Raw genomic sequence first — 17,222 nt, 5'->3', positions numbered from 1 at the left:
TCTATATGTGAATAATTTGTTACTATTCTGTGGTGGGAAGGGGATATGGGATTATGGATATAGTGGCAGAGTTTAGTTTAGCTTCTTCGTTAAAACAGTTGTGGGTTGGCCTAAGAATATGATGATTTATACCATTGCTTCTCTGTGAAATACAGACTTCTAAAGTATAAATTTAATTTACAAATATACTTCTGAAAGTAAAAATTTAGGAGTTGCCTTGAAGTTGTTGCCACAAGAAACCAACTATTCTAAAGGAGTGATTTTCTTCATGTTTTATGCTTTGATCATTGGTTATATTCTGGGTGCTTAAGAAATAGTAATTTATTTATATGCAAGTTAAATAATGTAACTTCCTGTTAAACTGTTCTATCTCCTATCATGATAGGAAAGGAATTGTACTCCAGTTACATTATAATATGAAACAGATGGTCAGTGGGATGAAAATGTTTTAAAATAAGTATTTTAATATGTAATTTGTTTTACTCTAATCTCATATTTTAATTTTTATTTTCAGCCTCTCTAGCAATTATGATGCTCAAATGAAGAGCCTTTTAAGGATTGTGAGAATGTTTTGTCACGTCTTTCGAATTGGTCCATCCTCCCCCAGTAATGGAATTGATATGGGCTACAATGGGAATAAAACTCCAAGAAGCCAGGTGTTCAAGGTGAGAAAAGTATATGGCATTGTTAGGAAGATAGACGTAAAAGAGATGAATTTGACAAAGCATGCATTCATTAATCAGAAAGCTCATGAACAGGTTGTAAGTTTGGTTTATACCCATATCACTTTCAAAATTAGGCACACCTTTCTCCTCTCAACTCTGTCTAATCAACAGCAAGTTGGTGAGCTTTCTGTATTTTTCTTACAAATAAAATTTTTTATTCCATTGGTGTTTTATTCTAAGGGTAGAGATATTTAGTGTTTAAAATTAATTTTATTAAATTATAGGTTTTTAATGTAATATGCAGCCACCATGCTTTTGAAAGAAATGTATTTCTTATTAGTAAGGAAATAAAATGCACAGTTTTTATTTAGATTTTAATATGATATGTGTGTTAGATGTGTGTCTGTATGTGTTTTCAAAGTAAGGTACTTTCATTTACTGGGTTTGCTGACAGTTAATTCCTGAGATAACTGCAAGGAAGAGTTGTTGAGATATTTTCTTAAAATATTTTGTATTGCTTCAGCTGCCTTTCTAAGCACATATGGATGAAGTCCTTGGAAGATTCATGTAAAAACCAAGGGAGTTTTGCTACTCATGTTAAATTATAATTTTATGAAGTAAACAAAATGAATAGGACTATAATTGCTCTTGTTAATGTTTTTTTGGGTGACATTTTAAAGTAACAGATTTTAGAAAAATGTGTAATTTAATAACTTTGTGTTTTTTATTTCTTCATGTATTTATTTTTTGAAACGGAGCCTCACTCTGTTGCCTAGGCTGGAATGCAGTGGCACAATCATGGTTGACTGCAGCCTCTACCTCCCTGGGCTCAGGTGATGCTCCCACCTCAACCTCCCCAGTAGCTGGGACTAGAGGTGCATGCCACCATACCTGGCTAATTTTTGTATTTTTTGTTAGAGATGGGGCTTTGCCATGTTGCCCAGGCTAGTCTCGAACTCCTGGGCTCAAGCAGTCTGTCTGCCTCTGCCTCCCAAAGTGCTGGGATTGCAGGCGTGAGCCACTGCACCCAGCCAACTTACATTTCTTTAAACAATGGTTTGAGTATAAAATATAGGTTATTTATCAAAAAAGTGATATAAATGTTTTTATGTGCCACTTCCTTGAAAACTAGTTAGGATTGAAAGCTTTGCTGTCTCTAAAATTCAAAGCTAAACTAGTGTTCTATACTAAATGATTCTTTCCTTACATGGAAAATTTTTGCAAAAAGGTAAAAATAAAGTTTGCAAGAACTTTGACACTAGTAGATTAATACTTAGAATAGATATGGTAGTCTTTTAGAAAGGTTATGTATGAATGTCTGTCCATCTGTTTTACTCTCTTTAAAAAAATCAGTCTAGGAAGGACAGTTTTTAGCCATATATGTATGTGTGTGTGTGCACGTTGAGTGTGTATTTTTGTTTTCTTTTTTTTTTTTCTTATTGTGCCACCTCCTGGAAGAATGAAGTTATGCATTCTTGTAATTCATGTGGCTTTTCACGTACCACTTCCTTGAGCTCTAGTTAGGAGTGACGACTTACTGTCTTTGTAAAATTTTGATCTACATTATTGACCTACTCTTTTTGTCAGGGCTGTTTTAAGCAAGCTTTACTGCTTCAAACATTCATATCACACAAAGTTGTTTTTAATGTGTTCTGGCGTGGCTCACTTTGTTAGTGACGGAATCTACCCATGATTTGACTTTGACTCATACTTTCTACTCATCAGTAATGATGAATATAAAATCAAATCAGGTATAGATGTGGTCAATATTATTCAAATTGGGTTAGATTATATTTAATTTTGTCTGATTTCTTTGGTTAAAATTTCGATCTGCTACCTGTTAGCTAATATCAGAAAATATGTGTTAAGTAGCCTCTCTATAGGTGATTTAAATGATTTAAATATTGATTTAAATGTTAGTTTTCTACCTACACAGTCAATACAGACATAATAGAGTAGAAAAGGATATCTGTTTTTCCTTTTTAGCTTATGTTTAAAAAATAGAACCCAGACTTTATGTTTTGTCATGTGTCTATGATATATATAATATATAAATACTTTCTTATTTCAAGAATTTTGTTGGTATCTTTGTTTCATTTTTTAAGGTACTGCTTTCTACAGCATTGACAACTACTATTTCTTCTCATCACTTATTTTCTCTTAAATTTTGAACTTCCATTTTGTAAAACACTAATTGTAAAACTCAGCTAGTTTTTAAACACATTAATAAGTATTAACTGTTAAAGAATTTATTAGTCTCTTTTCATTCAGTTTTATGAATGAAACATGGAATCTTTGGGGATTGGCAAAATGATCTGCCCTTCCATTTACAAGGATAAAAATAGAAACTGTACATTGTCATCCATGGGAATCAGATCTCCTGTTCATTGTGGGGGTGATTTCAAGTAAAAATCTTTGCTAGTTACTGAGTTGCTGTGATGTTAGACTGGAAATACCATTTTAATTCTTACCACATTTTGTCTGAGGTAGCAATTGATCCCTAATTTCCATTTCATTAACAAGGTACTCTAATGCTACTTTATTGTTCAAATTAACTAATGGGTTTTCCATTAAGAATGAGTGGGTTTATAGGCCATGTGTTTTTAGTAGGTGAAATTGTTTAACATCCTGTTATTAGTTTTCTGATTTATTTTAGAAGTTCTTCAAGTTAGTCTTAACACATAGCCATTCTTTCAGCATTAAGAGATGTTTATCTAGTGCCTTGGGAAATTTGGAGCATTTGAAGGAGAAGATCATTTTTATTTTTGAAGCACAGTGAACATGGGGAAGACAATTTAGGCTTCCTGAGTCTTGCTGTGTTCTTTTTTTGTGAATAGTAAGCTGTGACTATTAATGGTTTCATAGACTTACAATTTGGAAATTTTGGTAACCAAGAAAGATTGTGAAACTTTTAACTTCAAGATCTTATCTTGTGGGTTGTGGCATTTGACATTAGGTTAAGAATAGTCAGACTAACAGGATATCAATGTACTATGAATGAACATTAAGTTAATAATACTTTTCTGCCAAATTCATTCCTCATTTCAGCACTTCTTGAAATTTTAAAAAATCGTTCAGTAAGCTCGAGATTGTATATTTTGAAATATGACTTAAAATGCTTATAAATCATGTATGATTGGCATATCATTGTTACTATATGTAGAATATAATTCTTCAGTAAGGATCACTCAATAATAATGAATGAAGCAGTATTTTCACAGTACCAAGAAACCTGCTAATATTTTCAGTAGTAATTAACTCATTGTTCGGTAACAAATGGTATGTATGGTGTTTCTTATTTAATGTATTTTATTATTTATGAATATAGAAAGTATCAGATATAGTATGCAATGGTTTATTTTTAATTTTAAAATTTATTTGAATCCTTTTTGTTGGTGGCTGCTACCATAGTTAGAAATTAAAGTTATTTTCATAGTATTCTTTTTTGTGATTGAAGAATGAATTTTCTGAATAGATCTTCAAAGAGAAAACTTCCTAGGTAAACTCACCTCAAGGTTGGGATTTAGTTTTAATGTATGTATGATTGAAGAAATAAAAGGTAAGAAAAGAGAGAAAAGTAAAGAAAGGTCCAATGTGGTTTATTACTTATCTTATTTTTTTTCTCATTCTTCTAATTATTTGCTGTGTTCCTTTATTAAAAACTCTGGCTTTTCGACATCTTTGTTGTCACTTTTACACATATCCATTTTTTTCTTTGGTGTTATTTCTGCACCACTGAAAATTTGTCTTTCATTTTTTACACATTGTCAATATTTGAAAATAGGATCACTGTTGGTTTAGACTCAGTGCTCATCTGCATGATCAGCCTGTGTCATTTCTTGCGTTAGGCCTTACCTCCTTTCAGTGTGTTGATTTTCTAGGTTTTATCTTTTCTCATTTAGAGGCCAATTATTCTTTTTTCTTTTTGTTTCAAGCAGTTTTATATCACCACCTGTTCTTTCCATTTCAGAAGTTCATTTTCTGATATAAAGCTAAATAGTTTTGCTGACATAAGTTCTTTTCATCTTCTACAGCAGGTTCAGTGTTTTGCTCATAAAGAGAAACTATAGTTTCAACTTGGATCATGATTAGAATTTTCAGTGAAGGTATCTGTCAGTATTTATGGCAGCTGGGTGCTTCTTGCCCTTCTTTAAGCAGTTCAGGGACTCCAAATCTGTCAACCGTTGTGAGTATGGAAGAGCCCTCATTACGGGTGAGAGGGATGCTTACTTTAACTTCGAAGGAGGGTATAATTTCTCTTAAAAAAGGAAACATTGTACTTAACCCGACTACCTAGTGCATAGTACTGGTTGAGTGAGTGAACTAGGTTTTTGTTGATTGTAGTAGTGGTGGTTTTGTTGGTTTTGTTGTGTTTTTCTGCTTTTTGGTTGAACGTGTAAATGAAGGCCTGAGGTGATTTAATTATTTGCAAATTCAGTAAGTAAAATATTTTCAAAAAGAGAATATTACAGAAATCTGAAGAAAGGCTGAAAGTGGCAGTGAAGGTATTTGTTAGATAATAATTGGGAAGAATTTCCTGGCAGAATAGTTCAAACATTTTCTAAGGTTCCAAATATGGTTGTATAATCTCCTTCCATGGCGGTCTTTAAAAGAAAGATTATTTCTTTCCTTGAAATATTTTAAAGGTGAGTCTTTCTGTAGCACATGGTGTAGTTTGTAGCATTCTGTAATCATGTCAGATTCAAAAAGTGAGATAAACTTTTATATTTATTTGCAGAAGGATAGCTAATCATTCTCAATAAGAATATTTAAAATAGTGTAGGATGAAGGGATTGTTTAACCACTGTACCACTTATAAACTATTAATCTTTATTTGGGATTAAAAATATCCTAGCAGGTTTTTTTTTTTGTTTGTTTGTTTGTTTTTTTTTTTTTTTTGGAGACAGTATCTCACTCTTTCACCCAGGCTGGAGTATAGTGACATGATCACAGCTCACTGTAGCCTTGACTTCCGAGACTCAAGCAATCCTCCCCCTTCAACCTCCTCAGTAACTGGGACTACAAGTGCATGCCTGTGTACCCAGCTAGAATAATAATAGGAAATAGTTTATTCTCTCCTCATCTTTTTTTTTTTTAATAGAAAGGTGTTAATCTTTACTTGGAATTAAGAATTTGCTACTCAGTATTTTTTTTTTTTTTTTTGAGATGGAGTCTCGCCCTGTCACCCAGGCTGGAGTGCAGTGGTGTGATCTTAGCTCACTGCAACCTCTGCCTCCTGGGTTCAAGTGATCGTCCTGCCTCAGCCTCCCGAGTAGCTGGAATTATAGGTGTGTGCCACCATGTCTGGCTAATTTTTTGTATTTTTAGTAGAGATGGGATTTCAATTCACCATGTTGGCCAGGCTGATCTCGAATTCCTGACCTCAAGTGATCTACCCACCTCGGCCTCCCAAAGTGCTGGGATTACAGGCGTGAGCCACCATCTCCGGCCTGCTAGTCAGTATTTTAATAGAAGTTTGGTAATTGTATCTCTTGTTTTAAAAAAACACTAATTATTAGAAATGGATTGTGTCTGTAAGTATATGTATATACATAAATATGCCACATTTTGTAATTTCTTGTCAAAAATTATCCAAATTCTAGGAATTATATGTAATGAAAGGAGCACAGTAAAAAAGCTGTTCATTAGGTTCTTTAGGGATTCTCATTTTTTAATTGAAAAAAGACATTTGTTTAATTGAAAGTTGTTGACATTGATCATATTAATACAGAAAATGTTGAGTGATTATACTTAGGGGTTCTCATTTTTTAACTGAAAAAATCTTATTTGTTTAATTGAAAGTGGTTGACATTGATCATATTAATACAGTAAATGTTAAGGGTGATTATATATAGTAGTAATGTGTGCTTTTAAAACTAAACATTTGAAAATTAAAAGAAGAAAGATTGTGAATTTTTTGTTAGATTTAGTTTTTCCTTTTTATTACAAGGAATACATACATACAAATTAAATTATTGCCATAAATGAAGAAATTGTCATTTATGTAGCATTTGTATAATTTTATTACTTACCTTTAGGCATTACTATCACGTTAACTTGGGAAGATAGAAATGACTAGAGTAAATTTTCTCTTCTATAATATTTGTCTAGTTGTGTTTTGTTTTTTTTTTTTTAATCCTGTAGTTTAAGAATGATGTTTAAAAAACACTTTTGTTTCTCTCAGCCTCTGGAATTGCTTTGGCACTCGTTAGATGAATGGCTAGTTTTAATAGCCACAGAATTGATGAAAAACAAAAGAGACTCAACAGAGATCACTTCTATTTTACTGAAACAAAAAGGCCAAGATCAAGATGCTGCTTCCATTCCTCCATTTGAACCTCCAGGACCTGGGAGCTATGAAAATCTGTCCACTGGCACAAGGGAATCTAAACCAGATGCTCTTGCAGGGAGACAGGAAGCCAGTGCAGATTGTCAGGATGTTATTTCTATGACAGCTAACCGGCTAAGTGCTGTCATTCAAGCTTTTTACATGTGCTGTTCTTGTCAGATGCCTCCGGGGTAAGAAAGTTTTGGCTTATTATTTTTTTTTTCTCTGATAGATGATGAAAAGCAGTGATACTTTTGTAATTTCAAAAACAACAAATAATAATTTGTTGATTTAAAGTTTTCTCCTTGTTTTAAGATACTCATACTAATCTAGATCTAGTAGGGAATATTTAAATATTAAGCAGTATATATTATTACTTTGTAGAATGGTGAATGTCACCTTGTATAGGATCTCTTAATTATGTATTTGAAATGTGTAGAGCAGAAATGCACCAAATTTCAAGATTTTTAAAAAGTCACTTGTTGATATCGTCTGCTGATGAGAAGTTAGAATCATTTTACAAATTGGCTAGGCATACTTCAGTTTCCTAAACTTACAAAGAAGATTCAAAACCAAATTCTTTTTTTTTTGGTTTAGAAGCCAGTCCAGTTCAGTATATATTTATCAAGTTCGCTATATTATATCACAAACTTTTGCCTGTGTATTCTGATTGATGTTTTCCCCCCACAGAATGACTTCACCTCGTTTCATTGAATTTGTCTGCAAACATGATGAAGTTTTAAAATGCTTTGTTAATAGGTAAGCTTTCTGGGTTTGTGGAGTACCCTGCTAGCCTTTCCTCTCTTTACTTACAGTTTCATCTAAACAGAAAAAATACTATTTCTCGTACTATTCAAAATATGCTCAATAACAAATGAAACTTTAATAGATATGGATTATTATGTGTTTTTCTTCTGTTTCAGTGTCAGTGTATCTGAATTTGCATTTCACTTAATGCTACTCATTCTTCCTGTCCATTTAAACAAAATATTTTTCTTTTAGAAATCCCAAAATTATATTTGACCACTTTCACTTTCTCCTTGAATGTCCTGAGTTGATGTCAAGATTCATGCATATCATAAAAGCACAGGTAGAAATTTTTCTTCATCTTTTTATTCTATCTAATGAAATTAATTTCTAAAATTCTAATACTGTTTAGTGGAATAATTATTACACTTCAGACATTCTGTTGTAAGAGGAATGATTGCATGTTACTTTAATATGAGGAGTAAGTTTTCTTCAAGAAATATGTACTGAGTGCCTACTATGTACAGAGGTCTGTACAAAAACAACAGAACACATTGCCACATTTCCTGAAAGGAGCTTAATGAAACTCTTTAGTTCTATAAGGCTGATTGTCCTTTTGAAAAGGATTTTAGCCCCCAAATACATTTGGGAAATTACATAACATATGCCCTTTGGAAATTTATAAATCACATTGGCAGCATGTTAAAAGGCTTTGAGAAGCCCTTCAGTAAAAATAGTGATTTAGCTTTGTTAATCCTCCTAACTTATTTGACCTGACCACCTTTCCCCTACCAGATGTGTACCTGTTCATTCCATACATCTCATGTTACATGAAGCTAGCTGGAGGAAAGCTTGTTTTGCTCCTTACCAGCTATGTGAACTTTGGGCACGTTTCCTAATATCCTTGAGCCCTTGGTTTCTTCATCTACAAAATGGAGATAATGACAGCAGCCTCATAGAACTATTGTCCAGAATAAATTGTCAGGAATGACTGTGATATATGCTCAATAAATGGTAGTTGTTTTGGAGATAGAAAACTTACTTCCCTTCTCTAAGAGGATTCTAATTCAGTCTGGCTGGGGAGATAATAAACATATGTATAAAATAGTAACTACAACATAACCTGGATCTTTAGGAGTTTAAGGGAGGAAGAGCTGGCTCTGGCATCTGTAGTCAGGGGAAATTTCAGAGGAGGCAGATTTTAAGTTACCTTGAGAAAGCTTGAAAAAATATGCAACATTTTGATGGGAGTAAACAAAGAGGGAGAACTTTCTAGCCACCATGTGGGCTGGAGCATGTAGACCGAAAAGTATGTAAAACTGCAGTATTGCAGCAGAAATTTTGTGTTGATAGGAGCAAGATAGAGTTATGGAAAGGTAGATTGAGGTCATCCAATGATGAGCCTTGATTTCCAGATTGAAGAATTTTCTTTGTTTGCTAGGCTGTTAGGAGCCACTGATACCCTTGCTTTAGGAGAATGGCATAATTCTGGCAAAGTTTTAGAAAATAATTTGCCAGATATGTAGGACAGACTGTAGGCAATGGTTTGGTTAGTAGTTGTAAGATAATAAATAGGATAAGTGGTTTTTAATGTCTTTAGGGACACTTGTCCTTTCAGAAGTTAAGCTATGAACTAATTTTTATAAAATTATACATAACTATATAGAGGGATCTTTTGACATCTGTTTAATAATGATAATGTGAAAGAGAAGGCAGTAATAATGACTTACATTTACTGATTTTAGGTCAGGTACTATGTATTTGCTTCCATGAATGATTTTATTTTCTTAACCATTGTATAAGATGGCTACTCTTTTTTTTGTAAGCTGAAGTGGTTAAGTAACTTGTTTAAGTCATTCTGCTACTAAATGGGAGAACCAGAATTTAAAAGTCTGTCTGGTTCTCAAGTTCAATTTCTTTCTTTATTTTATTTATTTATTTTTTTTGACACAGGGTTTTACCTGTCACTCAGGCTGGAGTATAGTTGATCTGAGCTCACTGCAACGTCTGCCTCCTGGGCTGAAGCGATCCTCCCAGCTCAGTCTTTCAAGTAGCTGGGACTACAGGTGCATACCACCACACCTGGCTAATTTTTGTGTTTTTTGTAGAGACGGGATTTTGCCATGCTGCGCAGACTGGCCTTGAACTCCTGAGCTCAAGTGATCCACCTGCCTTAGCCTCCCAAAGTGTTGGGATTATGGGCATGAGCCACCACACCCGGACAAGTTCAATTTCTTAACCTACACTGTATGATACTGTTCTGGGGCAAATGAGATAATAGGTGAAAGAAGATTTTAGTTTTTGAGAGATAGTCTGCTGTTTTTAATATAGGTTGGTGCAAAAGTAATTGCGGTTTTTGGCAGTTACTTTTAATTGCCAAATTAAAATTGTCAAATTAAAATAGCAAAAACCGCAATTACTTTTGCACCAACCTAATACTGTCTCTGCTTTTTACTTTCTATTCCTTTTTCCCTTCCTGGACAATTTAGTCAAAAAACATCTGTATTAGGTATCCACTTTGTTGACCCAGAGAGGGAGGTGTTTGTTGCCTGACTAGGGTGAGGAGGGTGTCTACATGTGTAGTGGTGGCCTAGTGTGGGGTTTTGGAGTTTGGATGTGATTAAGAAGTGTGTCTGTGTAGAAGAGGGTCCCAGTGTGAGTCATGTGGGTTAGAGTGGCATAAGGAGGATGTCCATGTTGGCGGTGGTTGCAGCTGATCAGTGCTGTCTGATGGAGCCTCAGTGGGATGCAGGGGCCATGTCAGTGATTGGAGATTGGTTACATACCAAGGGAGTGGGGTTGCAGGTTGATCAAATAAGCAAGTATGAGAGTCTAACTTCTCGTTGTTGGAGAAAGGAGTTACAAAATGGAGGAAATTAGAAGGAACCTTGTGTTGAATTGGAGTTACCAGTTTGAATTTAGTTTTAAATTTACATAGATACATGTAGCAAACCTGGCACCCAGCTCTTGGTCTCTCAGTGCCATTCTCAATGAACCAGGGCTCCTTGGAGAAATGGCTAATTCCAGGGCTAGATCAGGGAAAGTATAAAATAAGCCTGCAACATCTTATTGTGTAAGAAAGTAAGGAAGTGTTCAAAGACTGATGGGGTTATGTTAACATGACTCGGAAGACAGCTTGAATGGACTCCCACTACCAAATTTGGAAGAATTTGAGCATCAAAATAAATAATGATGGCAACATAAACAGGAATCTATGAGTCTGTACTGAAAAAAGTTAATGAATAAATGGAAAGTCTGATGAAGGGTAGGATGATTACACAGTCTCAGATTATCTCCCAGCAGAATAATTGCAAAGAGAAAAAGGGTGCCTTACAGTAGAGAAGCTTAGCAGTGATCAAAGCAGACATAGCAGTGTGCCAGCTGATAGGATGCTCTGAGGACATCATGGCATCACTTCTGTGGTATTCTTGCCAAGGATACACACCTTAAATCTAATCAGGAGGAATCATCAGACTAAATACAGTTGAGGGACATTCTACAAAATTAACTGACCTGCAGTCAGTTTTAAAGACCTGCAGTCTTTAAAACTATCAAGGTTATGAAAATTAAGAAAACATTGAAGAAATGTACCAGAGTGAAGGAGACAGGACAGGACAATTAAAGGCAGTTCATGAATCATTTTGCAATAAGAGGACATTATTAGAAAATTGGCAAGACTTGAAATGGGATCTGATGTAGTAGTGTTATCAGAGTTAATTTCTGATTTTGATGGTTGTTATCTAGTTATAGAGGAAAATTCCCTTGTTTGTAGGAAATAAATGCCTAAGTGTTTATAGGGGACTGGACATTATATTGGCAAGTTGCTCTCACATTAGAGGAAAAAAAAATACTTTGTACTCTACTGTACTTAGAAGTTTTCTGTAACTTGGAGATTGTCCTCCTCTAGAAAGTTAAAAAGAACAACTACCTCTGCTAAGGGATTGACTTCTTCTTCTGTTGGTGGTTTTCAGGTGGCCAGTAGTTAAAGGGAGAAACATTTTGTATTGCTGTACAAATGCTATTAAGAGGAGCCTCTATAATCAGTCCTGTTTTGTGAATTATTTATGGAAATGCAGGTACTCTAGAAAGTTTACATACAAAAATGTACCATTTGGCTGTGTAGGTGTTTGTATGTGTGTGTGTGTGTTTGATCTGAGCTTTTGAAGGTAGCAGTTTGTACCTTTTAATGTTCCACTTGAATTACTTGAAAAGGTTCCATTTGTTTTTATTTCTTGGTTCACATTTCATAGATAAATGATATAGTTTAATATCTTATAATGGGCAGTAAGTTTTCTTTTAAATAGTTATTGACAATAATTTTAACATTGCTGTGAATGATAATAAGAACAGTATCTATTTATTGAGCATTCTAGGTATTGAGTATTAGAGCATTAGTATAAATGCTTTTAATGTATTTTTCTCTTTGGTAAAATGGGGACAAAAGTTCCTTTTTCTCATAGTGTTGTGAGGATTGTATGTGGTAATGCATTGTAAAGTGCTTCAAAAAGTACCTGGCTTATAGGTGCTTAATAAATGATTGCTAATTTATTATTATGATTATTATAATTATCATAATTATGTTCTTTATTTGAATTATTTAATCCTAACAGCTCTTGAAGTAGGTATATTCTTTTCTCTGTTTTACAGATGAGAAAACTAAAGTTCTGTGAGGATTAATAATTTCCTTAAGATAAGTCTAGTAAGTCACAGAGTGAGGATTTCAAACCATGTTTATCTGACTTCAAAGCCCATACTTAAATAATTGCTTCTGTGTAATGTTTTTTCTCTCCTCTTAAACCAAAGTTTTAGAAATAGTCAGCATTAGAATTTCAAGTACTTTATATTCCAGCTTGTTAACTGAAAATGAGATATTTAATTTATATGCACAGTAATGCATATAACACCAGTGCTTTATAAAAAATGTGGAAGACTGTTACAAGTATGGACAAAATTACACATTTAACTTTAAAAAGGTAGCATTTATTCTTTTCTTACTGAAAGCAAATATTAAAAGGCAGAAGTTCATCTCTCATCGATCATATTGTTTTTATTAAGAATTAATAACAAGTGATATTTGAATCTTTTAAAACAAACCTATTTAATTTAGCTCAGATGAAGAAATTTATTGGTGTCCTAAAAGCCACCTGGAAGATAACCTTTTTGTGGTGTTGGATGGTATTCATCATATTTATCTCTTGAAACTCTTAGCTTTTGTGATGGTATTGCACCACCTTGCTTCTCCTTTGACTTTTCTTGCCGTCTGTATCATTTGCTAAGCAAATTCTCAGTCATGACTTGTGATCATAAACTTCTTTGTTCTTGGTATTTATTCTCTGTATCTTTCATCTCTTGAACCTTATCCTGTCTCCAACTTTACCTTTGTTCATGTTTTTATTTTCAGTGTCTCAGCTGCATCACTGTCCAGTATCTCCTCCTAAATCCCTAATAGTTACACCCCACTATATCTTTAAACTCACGATACATAAAATCTTACTCATATTTCCACCAGTACCTTCTAGGAGTGTGGGGGTAGGTTATGGGGAAAGGGCTTTTCCACTTTAAGTTATTTCTATTCATAAGTTCTATCTTGCAGAGATCTTACCTTACTTTTTTTTTTGTAGAGATAAGGTCTCAGTTTGTCACTCAGGCTGGAGTGACAAAGTGAGCACACTACAATTATAGCTCATTGCAGCCTTGAACTCCTGGGTTAAAGTTTTCTCCCACCTCAGCCTTCTGAGCAGCCAGGACTGTAGGCGCATACCACTACGCTTGGCTAATTAAAACATTTTTTTTTTTTTGGTAGAGACAGGGTCTCACTGTTGCCCAGGCTGGTCTCAAACTCCTGGGCTCAAGCGATCCTCCTGCCTTGGCCTCCCAAAGTGCTGGGATTACAGGCATGAGCCACCATACCCAGCCTCTTCTCTTACTTTTAATGCTTATTCAAAGAAGTAGTATCTCTCGGATTGGCTTCATTGTTCCTCTTTGCTACCATGACCAGGACTTCTATAGCTCATGCTTCATTGTTGAGAAATTGATATTATATATATATATATTGTGTTACTCTGTGTTAGTCACATCTCTTTAACTCTATTAAACAGTTTTTAGCAAGTTCTTGGAGTTTTTACTGCTCTTACATTACATGCAGTGTTGGTACATAGTAAGTACTCAGTACTTTCTGATTAATCAAAAATTGTAGATAACTCACAGTTTGCTTACCTGGCAGATGAACAAAAGGGAGAGACTCTCTTTGCTATTCAAGAGATCTTATTCTTCAATTTTTAGGGTGGAGAATGGGAAGGGATAACAAATTACGTTCCAATTTCTGCATGTATTCTAAAGGATAGAAGTAAGAATAAAGTTAGGAGTAAGAGGCCGGGCGCAGTGGCTCATGCCTGTAATCCCAGCACTTTGGGAGGCTGAGATGGGTGGATCACCTGAGGTCAGGAGTTCGAAACCAGCCTGGCTAACATGGTGAAACCTCTCTCTACTAAAAATACAAAAATTAGCCAGGCGTGGTGGTGCGTGCCTGCAATCCCAGCTACTTGAGAGGCTGAGGCAGGAGAATCACTTGAATTCAGGAGGCAGAGGTTGCAGTGAGCAGAGATCGTGCCACTGCACTCCAGCCTGGACAACAGAGTGAGACTTTGTCTCAAAATGACAACAACAACTACAACAATAAACCAAAATAAATAAATAAGATTAGGTGTAAGAGATTATTTTCATGAAAAATTAAATGGAACACGCAACGTAATTTTTCTGGGTGTGAAAATTCATTGTAATAAGGCTTGGATTTAAAAGAATTGAGAATAAATATATTCAATTACATGTCTGATATTAAGTTCTGAGACATAACCAAATTTATCAAGTCTTTTGTGTTGAAAATGTAGGAATTTAAAAAAATACATTTCTCTAGGTAGTCAAACTATTTCAGCTAAGTTCTGTCTTTTTGTAAATAGTTATTGAAATGTTCAAACATTATCCAGTAACTCCTTATTGTAAATAAAGATCTAAGAATGATTATTTGTAGAAAAGGCATTTAGCAAGCTAGTAAATCTGATAATTAGATGACTGATACACTGCTAACATATTTTACTCTTATTTTTTGAGCTAGCCTTTTAAAGATCGCTGTGAATGGTTCTATGAACATTTGCATTCAGGACAGCCAGATTCAGATATGGTGCACAGGCCAGTGAATGAAAATGATATCCTGCTGGTTCACAGAGGTATGCTTAACAAAGAAACTGATATATGTGTGAAGCACAAAGTGCTTTTTATTATAAATTTTAATATGTAAAATTAACCAATGCTACATATTTAGATTCTATTTTTAGGAGTAGCTGTGAAGTTGTGTCAAAAGCAAATTGTGCAAAGCTAAAGCAAGGGATTGCTGTACGGTTCCATGGAGAAGAAGGCATGGTGGGTATAAAAGAAGATGATGTAGAAATCACTGTATGTAAAGAAAGATTGAAATGCCTTTTGAATAAAGTTTAATATTTAGTTGATAAAGGAAGAAACTTTATATTTAAATTTTGTTATTTAGAAAAAAATTTCCCAATATAACATATTTCTGTTGATGCTTAATTTTATTTCTTGAATTCAGGGTCAAGGTGTTGTGCGTGAGTGGTTTGATATTCTGTCCAATGAGATAGTCAATCCTGATTATGCATTGTTTACCCAGTCAGCTGATGGTAAGTTGTACAGTCTAGATGACTTTTTCTGCAACTTGTCACATTTTTCACACTATTTCAGTACATTTTATTTTTGATTTCCACAGCAGACCTGTGAGCTAGGTGGGATATTCTTATTTTATAGATGAGAAAACTGAAATTCAGAGTTTTTATCTGCATTCACACAGTTAATAAGTAGTAGAATCATAAGTGGAACCTGACTCAGTCTAACATTTGTTCCTCTAAACAGTTGGTTCCCAAATGCTTGTCTCAAGGACTAGTGTTGGCCCAAAGAGGTTTCTTATCAGTCCTTTGTAAAATAAAACTAAATTGGTTCAATTTAAGGATTATCCTTGAGTCTACATTTTTTGAATTAAATGTTTTATTTCATAAATTAATGGTGCTTGTAGATGGCCTTAAACAAATAAAAGTCCCTATTTGGAAAAATAAAAATTTGCTAACTCTATTTGAGTTTCCAAGTTTTAAAATATATTGGTTAGGAAAACCCAAGTCTAGAAATCATGATATAAAATTTCAACTCTTAATCTATTTATGTATACTAACTTTATTTTCAGTCATTTTGAGAGATCAAGACCTGGCTACTATAAAGCTCTTATTGAACCATATAAAACAGATAATTAACTCTCCTTGTTGAAATGGTGCTTGTGCCCTATAGAGTCGTAATTTGCTGTTGTAGACTAAATGGAATTAGTTATCACCTCATTTGTGTGAGGCATATTTGAGAGCTCTCTAACTTAATAAAGACATATTCCAAGTGAAGGTGGGATTTCAGTTTTCAAATGCTTTGCACAGTCGCTTGTTTTTCCTAAAAATCTTTTCTCTCCCCAAATGTTTACATTCTTTTATCAGGAGAGAATGCTTCATTAATTGTAGCTTCTGATTGCTTCCAACCAAACTAGCAGCAAATCCCTATTTGATCAGAAGGATGATTTTAGGGGAGGCAAGTGGGAGTAGGCTGCAGTAGAGCTAGGCAGCTGCAGGCATTCATCCCTGTGATGGGTTTCGTGGATACACTTTGAGTATTTGAAATTATGTAGGAACATGGAACTGCCTGCTTTAACTCTGTAACCTTTAATTCTTTGCTCTGAGGTGAATTTGGTGTCTTTGTGAATGACGAGTTCAGTGAAGTCATGAGTTTAATTATTTAGGCCTAATCTTTGAAGCTAGATCTAGCATTATATTTTAGACTTATTTCTTCTCTTTATATCCTTTATTCTAAGTCTACTTAGCTTAATATCTGAAAAACAGATTTGGTGTGGAATCATTAGTTGAGGTACTTCCTTAATGTTACAGATTTATAGCAGAGCAAATGTTGAAGTACATAGACCCATAAAGTTTTTTGTTTTTTTTTTTCTTTGAGACAGAGTCTCGCTCTGTCACCCAGGCTAGAGGGCAGTGGCGCAATCTTGGATCACTGCAGCCTTGACCTCCCGGGCTCAAGGGACCCTCCACCTCAGCCTCCCGAGTAGCTGGTATGGCTGAGGTGGGAGGATCACTTGAGCTGGGAGACCAGCCATGGCGCCTGGCTAGTTTTTGTATTTTGTAATTTCTCTATTCTTTTTGTGGAGATGAGGTTTCGCCATGCTGCCGAGGCTGGCCTCAAACTCTTGAGCTCAGGTTATCTACCCGCCTCGGCCTCCCAAAGTTCTGGGATTACAGGTGTAAGCTACTACGTCTGGCCAAACATTTTGATTTATCTTTTTTGTAAGCCATATCAGTCTCCTCTTTGGTGTCATAGTATTAATAAATTAAAATCAAGCTGAAATATTTTCACGTTCTCAGGTTTAGTTGACA

General features: G+C 34.6%; 1 protein-coding gene across 18 annotated transcripts in view; it reads left to right on the top strand.

The window, feature by feature from the left end:
• The window catches only part of HACE1 (HECT domain and ankyrin repeat containing E3 ubiquitin protein ligase 1), a 131,826-nt gene that overhangs the window by 67,751 nt on the left and 46,853 nt on the right, over nt 1-17,222 (top strand). For 11 of the 18 annotated variants that reach the window (NM_001350555.2, NM_001350560.2, NM_001350557.2 and 8 more), the window contains 7 exons: nt 515-665; nt 6,850-7,184; nt 7,684-7,752; nt 7,996-8,083; nt 14,852-14,963; nt 15,059-15,156; nt 15,341-15,428. In NM_001350555.2, coding sequence (NP_001337484.1) covers nt 515-665; nt 6,850-7,184; nt 7,684-7,752; nt 7,996-8,083; nt 14,852-14,963; nt 15,059-15,156; nt 15,341-15,428 — 941 coding nt within the window. Of the gene's footprint in view, nt 1-514; nt 666-6,849; nt 7,185-7,683; nt 7,753-7,995; nt 8,084-11,711; nt 11,817-14,847; nt 14,964-15,058; nt 15,157-15,340; nt 15,429-17,222 lie in introns of all 18 variants that reach the window. The other 7 variants (NR_146787.2, NR_146789.2, NR_146788.2 and 4 more) reach the window with 3 other exon arrangements.

The sequence above is a fragment of the Homo sapiens genome, chromosome 6 (genome assembly GCF_000001405.40).
Source record: "Homo sapiens chromosome 6, GRCh38.p14 Primary Assembly".
NCBI lineage: Eukaryota > Metazoa > Chordata > Mammalia > Primates > Hominidae > Homo > Homo sapiens.
The sequence above is the reverse complement of the archived record's forward strand: the minus strand, read 5'-3'. Positions and strand labels throughout refer to the sequence as shown.